This window comes from Homo sapiens, chromosome 1 (assembly GCF_000001405.40).
Source record: "Homo sapiens chromosome 1, GRCh38.p14 Primary Assembly".
Classification (NCBI taxonomy): Eukaryota; Metazoa; Chordata; class Mammalia; order Primates; family Hominidae; genus Homo; species Homo sapiens.
Window position 1 is genome coordinate 203,400,141 of NC_000001.11, and position 11,114 is coordinate 203,411,254.

Genomic DNA, 11,114 nt, shown 5'->3' on the forward strand with positions numbered 1-11,114 from the left:
ATTTTTTAAATTAACTGTAGGTTTTAGGGAAACATTTATTATACAGTACTACCAAAATAAAAGTGGATCCCTAAGAACAGCTCAAATACCCAGTGAAGTATTAAGAGGTTAACTATAATTTGTTTTCAGTCATATTCAGAAAATTTAATGTGTTTACTTGCTTGTTGAGTCTTTACAAGTTTAATCTTTTTGGCTTTGGTGATTAACTTTTAGTACCTCTTTCTTTTCCCTAGCTGATTAAGTTTGGCCTACCTATCAACAAAAATCTGCCAGTATCTTTGTGATCACCAGAAAAGCCCTTGAGTTTCCAGCGGTATTTCTTTTTAATTTCTGTAAGTGCACTTATTATTGCTTGAGATCCTCAGGAGTTTTGAATCTAGCCTGGCATTCTGTATCTCTTTCTAGCAAATCAACATAAACAACTCCTGAGATTGCTCCAAAGTATTGCATACAAAAGCACTTACAACTTTAAAAATGGGTAAAAATCAACCAGGCATGGTGGCTCACACCTGTAATCCCAGCACTTTGGGAGGCCGAGGTGGGTGATCACTTGAGGTCAGAAGTTTGAGACCAGCCTGGGAAACATGGTGAAACCCCATCTCTACTAAAATACAAAAGTTAGCTGGGCGAGGTGGCGCACACCTGTAGTCCCAGCTACTCAGGAGGCTGAGGCAGGAGAATCACTTGAACCTGGGAGGCAGAGGTTGCGGTGAGCTGAGATCACACCACTGCACTCCAGCCTGGGTGAGAGAGCAAGACTTGGTCTCAAAAAAAAAAAAAGGGTAAAAATCGTTGTGTGTGTGTGTTTGTTGTGTTTTGTTTTGTTATAGTCACACCTGTGTATCAAACACTTCCCCTGGGGCATTTCAGTCCTTGCCCTCTAGCAGGGCACAGTGTGATGGAGGAGGGTTCAGAGAGCTCCCAGCCAGATGGGATGTGCTTGAGCGTGTATGTGTGTGCATAGAAATAAAGATCATCAAAAAGACAACAAACGTAAAAAAGCAATACAGGAACACATTTAGTGAGCACATGCTACGGGGATGCTGGAGAGAAGAGGCCAACTCAGGGACGGAAGGCAGGGACACCCTCTCTGGCTCTGGAGCACTGGGACTGACAGTTGCGACATCCATAATTCATAGCCCATCAATCTTGGAGGGTCCTGTGCTCTGACCCTTTTAAAAATGACCCTCTTCTCTGATAGCTGAGCCCTCCTTGGAGGCCCAGGGCAGAAAGGTTTCTCTGCAAGACATCCTCTGGTGCCCAGCATGATGGATGAGGAGGCCAGAGCTGCTCAGGGCAGCTGAGGCCAGTGGGGCTGAGTGGGGAGATAAATATAGCAGCAAATCCAGCTCTGTGTATAGAGAGTGCGGAAGGCCAAAGGGCAGTGCCCTGGGTAGCATTGAACATGTAAGAGGTGACTTAACAAGCGCAGCTCGTGAAGGAAACAGGGAAGGAGCAGTCAGAGAAAGGTGGAGAAAACAAGCAGTGTAATGCATCATGGAAGCCAAAAGGGAAGACAGCTTCACCAGGACAGCGGAGACGCCAGCGGTGCCTGCAGAGTCCTCCAGAGAGGCCCCTGCCATGGAGGGTGGAAACGTGCCTCGTGAATTTGATCAGTAAGAGGTCCTTGGGGAGCCTGGGGAGAGCAGTATCAATGAAAGGTGGAGGCAAAAACCAGGTTTCCATGGGCTGAGCAACAAATAGAAAGTGAAGAAGGGATACTAGGAGTCAGATTGTCAGATTTAGCAAATAAAAATACAGGATGTTCACTTAAATTTCAATTTATCTGACATTTGAATTTCAGATAAACAATGAATAAATTTTTAGTATAATAAGTATGTCCCAAATATTGCATGGGACATACATAAACTGAAATAATTATTTGTCATTTATCTGAAATTAAAGTTCAAGTGGGCATCATGTATTTTATGTGGCGGTTCTAACAGGTTAGCGTGTGGACTTCTCTCCCAAACAACTTGTCTGGGAAGAAGAGCTGATTGCTAGAGCCATAGCTAGAAAGGGACCCCAGTCAATGGAAAGTTGTATTTAGGATGGGATCATCTAAGCGTGTAGCCCAGGCAGCACTTTCTGTAGCCTGTTTGTAGGCCGAAGAGAAAGAAGGAGAGGCTAAAGACACAGTTGGGAGAATGCTAGATTATTGAAACCATGGGCCTCTAATCAGGACCAGCAATCATTTCACTGGATCCACCCATAAAAAGCAGAAAGTCCCTCCCCAACACTCCATTCCACTAAAAGCTCAGAAAAATGCAAATTTCCAACATTGATTTGCAAGTGTATTCCCGCTCCTGCAAACTGCAGGATTGTGGATTTCATACAAACTCTATCCAGTAGATTTTTGTTTCTTTTGTTCTTTTGTTCTTTTTCTTGGTGTTTTAATGGACCACCATAGCTGAAAATATTTTGCTAAATAGAGCAATCCACTTTGCCAACTTCAGCATTTCTTAAAATTCTGTCACCAGATAGAACCATTTTTAATAGCTAGATTCCATAACCAGTTCAGGCCTCAAGCCTAGGTCTTTTAAAGCGAATGAATCAGATTAGTGCTGAAATCGAGCTCCTCCTTCCTCTTTTTCTATTTTTACTCTTACTGCTAATGGCGAAGTTATCAAAGCCTCTTTTGATGATGAAATAATTGTATCATTGAATCATCACATGACTGAGTCAACAGCTGTTTTTCTTCCTCATCACACCAGTTTCCAGGGTCACATCTGGCTTGAGAAACTTGAAGTCTGGTGTCCTTTTGTTTATTTTTGTTCCTTTTCCTCTAATTCCTTAGATTTCTGCCAGATTGGGAGCCTTCATTAGTGTTTTGTTTCTGTGTTCGTGAGACAGAAAGGCAGACAATGGTTTTTTTCCCCTTTCCACAAATGCTAACTTGAAGTCTTGTTTTGTTTTCATTCACTTTTGAGGCAGAGTCCAGCCCACCAAGTCGAATTCTTTGCTCAGTTTTAGGCATGTAGACCCCACAGCAGAAGCAGTGCTGTGGCTTCCGCTGTCCTTCCTAAGAATGTCCCTGGCTGCTAACTGTTTGGATGTTCCCCTCCTTCACTAGGGACTTTGAGACTGTTAATAAGAAAAAAATAACAACATTGGGCTACACCAATTTCCCTTCTCTCAAATTGCTTGTTCTATGTTAGTTTCAAAACAAGAGTTTGCCACCTTGGTTTTAAAGAGAGCACTAATGGACTGCCCCCAGTGCTACCTGTTCTGTTTCTAATCTGCTCCAGGATCCGACAGAATCCATATAAGGTAGAGGACAATTGCTTTGAACAGACATCCTCAAGATAGTTCATAATTTTGCCTTTGGTTTTCTCATTTGTAGCACTCAGGATAGAGCTTGGTCTTCTTTGGTGCCTGAGATTTAGGATTGGGCAGGAGGAGGTTATGTTTGGGATCTGCTTTCAAGTAAAATATCTCTACCAACTAATGAGTAATTTAAGATTCTCTCTCTATATGGTACTTATCCCAAGAGGTAGACAAGTACAGACGGGGTGTAGCTAAAGCTGGGGCCATGGCGGGACAGGAAAGTTTCTTTATGGGTCAAAATACTTGCAGTGTTAAACAGGCATGTTACCAAAACAGGTTCCCTCAGGGTGATGGCTCTTCGTCTGCTAGGCTGACCAGGGGGCCCAGATGGTGTGCCTGATATCTGGGAGGACGTCTCCAAGAATGTGTGACTTAAGTCACCTCACCTGGAGGTTGAAGGCCTTACATTATTTAAGCCAGAAAGGACTTCGAAGACCCTGTAGCCTCAGGGCTCCCAGACTTAATTTCATGGTCTATTACAAGTTGGAAGTAAAATACTGTAAAAAGTAACTGGTTGTCGATAAGTTTTATTTTGCCAGTTGAGCAAATAAAATACTCACCTTCTGTCATCATTTCAGAAAAGTACCTTTTAATGTAAAAAATATGGAAGACTTATTCTCTCACTCTTAACATAAAGGATATATATCCCTGTCCTTCCCCAGAAAGTCAGTATTAAACTTACACTAACAGTACACAAATATACTGTATTATATGTCTGTGTGTATCAATATGCATGCACATCATCATCCTCCTCCTTACTTTTTCCTTATCACATGGGTAGCTGTAATGTAGTGATTTAGTACGTGGACTCTGGGACCAGGATACCTGAGTTCAAATCCAGGCTCTACCACTTACCATATGAAGACCTTCAGGTAAGTTACTTAACCTCTCTGAGCCTTGGTTTTATCATCTATCATGTGAAGGTGTTAATAAGAATACATACTTTTCCAGGTGGTTATGAGATTAAATGAGTTAATATATGAAAACCACTTCACACAAAGGAAATACCCAGTAATTCATAGCCATTGTTATATTATTTTGCCACAGACTAGTGAAATCTTTATAAATTGGTATCTGGGAACCACTGACAAAGCACTCCTTTCCTTTTCCATATAAGGAACAACTTAAGTCTAGAGTGGGCATGATTTGTCCAACTCAGGTCATGGCCAGTCAGTGACTGGCATGGGCATAGAACTCAAGTCTGCTGACCAAGTCCAATGCATCTCTGAGGTTTCCTGGAAAAAAAAAAGTCAGTTAGGCAAATGACTGGAGGGTAGGATGGGAATCAGTGAACATGGGCTGAGTGTGTGCATAGAGAGGGGCGGGGAGCCAGCACTTGAGCAGAGCACACTAACCAGTTTGGGAACCCCAGGGAAGTCTGGCCATTGCTGTCTCCTTTCTCTTTCCTCCAACCTCAGAGAAAATGAATATAGGAGCAGGTGACAGCCTGGGGTTGGGGGTCGAGGGAGTCTGCACGTGGGATGGAGTAGGTCGGTAGCAATGCACTTCTACCTCTTCCTCCTTCAGCCTTCAGTCCACCCATAGAACATACGGCTGAATCTCCAAAGTCCTACCTCTTACGACTCTGCTGGTACAGTCTGTTGGATGGAGGTCCTGCCCCTCCCAGGCACCAATCACCAGAGCAACCAAGGCTGGAAATAATGCTCAACCCTTCCACTCATTTTTGCTGCTGTGGTTTGGGGACCATTCTCCATTTCCTAAGCAGACACAGCCTTGGTGAGGACCATGGGATCAGGTAGGATTGCACTCAGTGGCTGGTAACAGAATCCATGGGACTATGGCTTCTTTTTCACTCCCCATAGCAGGAAATCAGGGTGTCCAGGGCAGGCTCCTTTAGTCCCTCTGTTCCATCATCCTTCACATATGACTTTCATCCTCATGACCACCTCCTGATCACATGTTCCAGGCAGGACGGAGACAAAAGAAAATGACAAAAAGCAAGGGTTGGGTACATATCAGGAAATCCAGACTTTCCCCTAAACCTTCCAGGGGCTCCTGCTACTGGAAGCTACTCCTAGCTGCAAGGGAGCAAAGGAAAGGTCATCTTTTGTCTGGGTAACAAATTGTGGTTTTATTAAGTAAGGAAGGAGAGAATTGATATTGGATAAGAAACATTTACTCCCAGGAAGATACAAATTGGAGCCTTTTCATTTCCTTTCCTCCAAAGTTGATTTCAGCGGGATCACAGTCCAAGGAAGCATTAGCCCAGCTCCAGAAGCCTTAATGTCTGTATGGCCTTTGCTGAAACCCAGAACTCACATACAGTGGATCAGGCAGCACACAGCACCCTGCATACCTTTTTTTACAAGTCTCCTTACACTTTCCTCTGACTCCTCTCAGTGGCGCTTCCAACCTCCCTCTCTCCTGCAAAGCAAAACAAAACAAAACAAGAGAGGCCAACTGGCAGCCTGTGCTGCCCTCTCTGCACAGCCTCCCATCTCTCTGACATCTTCCCTGTTACCACGTTTTTCCCTTTGTCTTCTCTGTGCACTTTCTTGTGGAAATGGGTTTGGTCTCTGGGTTGTTACAAATCTAGGCCTCCACCCCTTAGCCCCATAAGCACAACCAAGGCTGAAAATGATGAATCTGGGAGATTATGACACAACCTGTGAACTATACTGTGATATTTCCCCCCGGCTACCCAGGTTACCAGCAAGCCAGTGTAAACTTAAGCGCTGCTTCTACAACATCTGCAGACACCAGTCAGGGTGGGTCAGCTGTGCTTTGCTCCAGCCCTGGAGACCTGCCCCATCCCCGCTCAGCCTCCTGCTCTTCTTGTTCTTATGTTGTCTGAACTCCCCACTTTGATACTCATCCTACTGGCTTCAGCCAAATAATTCCCATCTGCTCCTTCAGAGGCCCACTTAGGATGGTCTGTTTGGGGAGGTTCTCTCAATTCACCTCACTGGCCCCAAGCCAGTCTGCTGTGCTACTCTGATAGGTCAGCCCTTGGTTTATATTATTTGTATTTGTACTTGGTATTCCGATTTTGAGCTGCATTCTTTATATCTGTTCTGTCTCCACTATTAGGCTGGGACCAACCTGAGTGCAAAGTCTGGGTCTCCTGTCAACCCCTCGGGACAAGGGTTACTTTTTTTTTCCCAGCTGATGTTTCTTGGGTACCTTCCATGTGTCAGATGCTGAGGTTGGTGCTCAGGACATGAGACAGACCCAGCCCCTGTTCTCCCTCAGGACTTGCTTCTCCTGGTCCTGTCTGTGCCCCCAGGACAGCACTCTGCCTGACACATCGGGACAACTGACCACTGTCTGGACAGAGATGAGGAAGAGGATAGGGATTCAGCCCTTGGAGATGAGCCCCATCACTCTCTTCCTGGATTCCAAGTTCATACCACTCTGGCGGCTCCTCTGAAAATCCCCAGGCCTCCTCCCAGTCTCCCGGCATCCGGTGTTGCTGTTGGCCGGGCCTGCCTGCCACACAGCCAGGGACTGAAGGACATTTTATTCCAAATGAGGGCAGTCAGCTGAATTTCCAAACCAAAGATTTTTCCACTTCAAATTTTCTCCTTTCCTCTTCTGCCCAAATAACACATTTGTTTTGTAGAAAAGGGACAGAGCAGTTCTATATCTAAGGGTTAAAGACTTTATGGGGATACCTGGGGGATAGGCAGGGCTGTGGCCAAAGTCCTTATCCTGTTGGGAGGAGAGGGAAAAGAAAGGAACTGAGAAGGGCCTTCCAGTCCCCAGGAAGACAAAGGGGATAAGATCAAATCAAGGGATGCCTTTTTTCTTTCCGACCCTATACTGCACTCTCCTTCTTCTTCCATCTCCTTTTCCTGTTTTTTATTTCCTCTTCCTCTCTTCCTTCCCACTATCTTCTTCTCTCTCTTCCTCTCCTTCCTCTTCCTCCATGCATTCATTCATTCATGCATTCTCCCAGCAGACATTTATTCAGCATCTACTATGTGTCAGACACTGCCGCAAGCTAAGAATACAGAGACAACTAAGTCAAGGCTCAGAGTTCTTATAGTCCAGAGGTTGAGGAGGGTGGGGCAGACAGATGACAGGCTGGGGTGAGGAGCTACAACTGGCAAGGAGAGGTACTGGTAAATCTCCAAGTACATTCAGAAGCTCATGCAGTACATTTAGAACAAGGGAAACTCTGGGAATCAAGGAAAACTTTTTAAAAAACTTAAAACTTAAAATTTTTAAAAATAAGTATTTATTTATGTATTTCTTATTATTACTATTATTATTTTTTGAGACAGGGTCTCACTCTGTTGCTCAGGCTGGAGTGCAGTGGTGTGATCATAGTTCACTGCAGCCTCAACCTCCTGGGCTCAAGCAATCCTCCCACCTCAGCCTCCCAAGTAGCTGGGACCATGGAAGTGCATGACCATGCCCGGCTAATTTTTTTTTTTTTTTTTTTTAAGAGACAGGGTCTCTCTGTATTGCCTAGAGTGGCATTTTTTAAATAGACTTTTTTTTTTTTAGAGCAGTTTTATGTTTACATCAAAATTGAGTAGAAAGTACAGAGTTCCCCATGTATCCCCTGCCCCTCACACACACAGCCTCCCCAACTATCAACATCCCCCACAGGAACAGTCATTTGCTAAACCCGATGAACCTACATTTTAACATCATTATCACCCAAAGTCCAGAGTTCACATTAAGGTTCACTCTTGGTGTTGTACATTCTATGAGTTTGGACAAATGTATAATGAATTGTATCCACCTTTATAGGATCATGCGGAGTAGTTTAACTACCTAAACATCCTCTATGCTTTGCCTCACTTAATCTTTCAATCTTCAATTTCTTCTTCTTTGAAATGGGAAATATAACAATTATCTCATAGAGTGATCATGAGGATAAAACAAAATAATATATATGAATATTCTGCTTTAAGTGTGGGTTATTTATATAATATCACAGGGAAAAACCAAGAGAACTCACATAGTTGTCCCTGATTGTGGTATGTGCTACGGGAGAAAGGAGAGAAGCAGATAGGAAAGGATGAACTTTCGCCCAAGCATCAGGGAGACGCTGCTGCATGAGGTTTGGGCTGCAGGCGACACTGGGAGTAGTAGTAGGAGGAGGGCACGGAGGCCCACGGAATTCTAACAGGGACTCTGGACTGTTCCCTGCTCCTGAAGTAGCCCATCCCAACTTTATCCAGGCAGTCCTCTGGCTGCTGCTGGCAGGGGCTCAGAGAGCCTGTGTGAGTCACATCCACGTGGCTGATGTGGGGAGGGAAGAAGGGATGGGGAGGGCTCATGCCCGCGCAGGGCCACGCTGGCTTGGAGAAATGGTTCCTGAAAGTCCCTGGCAGAAAGTGGGCTGCTGTGGGCTGTTAATGTGCCATGCAAATCAACCAGTAAACAGTCCCCAATGAGAATCCCAGATGTCTGTTCACTCCAAAGCACAAGACACTCATTTTGGGCTCCAGGTGGGGACCAGCTCAAGTGAACCCTGCCCATGAGCTGAGGCAGGACTGCTGGTCTCTCTGTCTTCCTGCCTCTGGACGGGGACCTTGTTCCTGGAGACCTCATTGTCCTCCTACACTGAGACAGGCAGTGTCTACACAGGGAGAAGGCGACCGGCAGTACAGATGACATCAACATATCACCTTTCATTCAGGATGGGAAAAATCATTCTGGGGTCTGCTTAGGCTGTCTAGGCAGAACAAAAGAGCTGCACCATAGTGCTAGAGACAGGATGAACCATATGGTATGCTTGTGGGGTACCCCAAATTTCCACCTGAGTTGGGTCTGTTGCCAGGCAGAGGCACAGCTGGGTTTGGGGGGATGCCAGGTGCTTGCTGTATATATGCTCAGAATGCGTTGGCTTGTGGGGAGGATAGCTAGAGAGGGAGAGGTGGAATGAAGCACATCTGGTGACCCGATTTTTTGTTTTCTTGTTCTTAGTTAAGAGCCTCAGCTATTCTTGGGGCTGGAGGAAGAAGACAAGGAAACAGGCAGGGGCAGGAGAAGGAGAAAATGGGGCAGGTAGTGTATGTTACTTGGGGAGGCTCAGAGAGGGAGTGCTGTTTTGATCCCGGGAAGGCCTCTACTTCTCATGGAGTGCGAAGGGGCTTGGTGTTCCTAGGTGAGGAAGAAAAGTATGGTCACATGACCATTTAGCAGCCTCTCCCACAGGGACTCAACATGCAGTCATATCAATATATCATTCCAAAAGCAGCACATAAACACATATACCTTCAAGGATAATTGCAAGCACAGGGTTTAATTATACAGACAATGAAAGCCCACACTTCTTAGAGACACACTGCCACTGAAACACACACAGCCCTGCTCATAAAGACTAGAAGTGGTCACATTGACCCTTCAGGTCAGGGCAAATGTGCCTTGAACCAGCATCACCCTTTGGAGTTTGCAAAGTCTAATGTCCATCTCAAGTTTTCCACAAACTTCTGGAGGGTGCTCCTGCTTCTGATGAATTGTTCGATCCAGGGTCCTCTGGCCATTCCTGGTGACTGTCCCTGTTCCACACCACCACCATCCAGGTGGAGAACATGGCAGAAATACTTGCAAGGCTTCTGTGATGTGGAAAACTTAGGAAGCTTTGAAGAAATGAAGAGCTTTACATCATAGCAATAACACTAAACACTAAATAATACTAAACAACAGACATTTCTGGTATGACTTTTTAAAAATCCATTGATCATTTTCATAACTCAGGGTGCAGACTCTTTGCATGTTATTCAGCTAATCCCCTTCCCCCTCTTCATTGTTGTCTTCTTCTTAGGGGCAAAATCCGAATTCCTCTCATTTCTTACGTGGAACAACTTTCTCCAATCTCTGCTGCCAAACGTGGCTCGTGAACTCCCTTAGCATAGCCAAAAACTCACTGGAAGCTCTGAAAATAGCCCTGGTGACTTGCTGATTAAGCTCCTAGAGCAGAGGCTATCTGCCTTCCCCATCTTCCTGTACTAAGGGCAGTTTTTATTTTTCTAGCTAAATGTAAATATGCAAATATACACTTGGACACAGAACTCTCGATCCACTTCCCCAAATAGGTTAGACAGGAAGAATTCATCTATGCCATGTTCAGGGCAGTTAGCTAAATCTAAAATTGCCTCCCTCCCTCAACTTCCTACTCTCTACTTTCAGGGTTCCCGGGGCTCTTTTTACAACAGATTTATAAAGTCAACATCATTGAGAGCCTGCCCTATGCCAAGCATTCTTCTTGGGAGATACAAAGATGATAAAACAAGACCACGGAACTCAAGGAGCTCAAATCCTAGATGGAGTGGCAGATAAGTAAACATGGAATCATGATGTAATAAGATGAAGTCTATGATAGGGAAGGTAAAATGTGCTATTGGAACACAGAGAAGAGCAGTTGAACCAGCTTGGGGCTGGGAGTGTGAGGAGGATGTGCAGGATGAGTAGAAGTTCATCACTTAAAGGAGAGGGTACAAAACCTGACCATCCATTTATGCAGTTGCAATTGTTTATTACTTTGCTAAGCAGTGAACAAGATGGACAGGCTTCACTTGGTGGTGAAAACTGCAGGCTTTATAAATAGGTGAGTGTTGTGGAAGGGGACCCTCAGGGCCAGGTAAACCTGTCTAATGAGGTGACACTTAACCTGAAGCCTAAAACATCGGTTCCCTAATGTTTTTGGTACCAGGGACTGGTTTCATGGAAGATAATTTTTCCATGGACAGTGGGGTTCAGAGGGGAATAGTTTTGGGATGAAACTGTTCCACCTCAGATCATCAGGAGCCAGTTAGATTCTCATAAGGAGTGTGCAACCTAGATCCCTCGCATGCACGGTTCACAAG

At 44.9% G+C, this 11,114-nt stretch overlaps 1 long non-coding RNA gene and 1 pseudogene across 1 annotated transcript, besides 1 other annotated feature; both read right to left on the reverse strand.

Moving 5' to 3' along the window:
- On the reverse strand, positions 126-441 carry LARP7P1 (LARP7 pseudogene 1; annotated as a pseudogene).
- Positions 4,593-7,485, reverse strand: BMNCR (bone marrow associated non-coding RNA). The gene is made up of 3 exons (XR_001738390.3): positions 6,391-7,485; positions 5,645-5,712; positions 4,593-5,237 (listed from the first exon to the last, which is right to left on the reverse strand). It is a non-coding gene; the product is annotated as a bone marrow associated non-coding RNA (long non-coding RNA).
- Positions 10,027-10,227: a silencer, noted in NCBI's record as "peak658 fragment used in MPRA reporter construct". NCBI's record gives its function as "represses an SCP1 promoter by STARR-seq MPRAs in K562 erythroleukemia cells {active_cell/tissue: K562}" and the evidence as "EXISTENCE:reporter gene assay evidence [ECO:0000049][PMID:32103011]".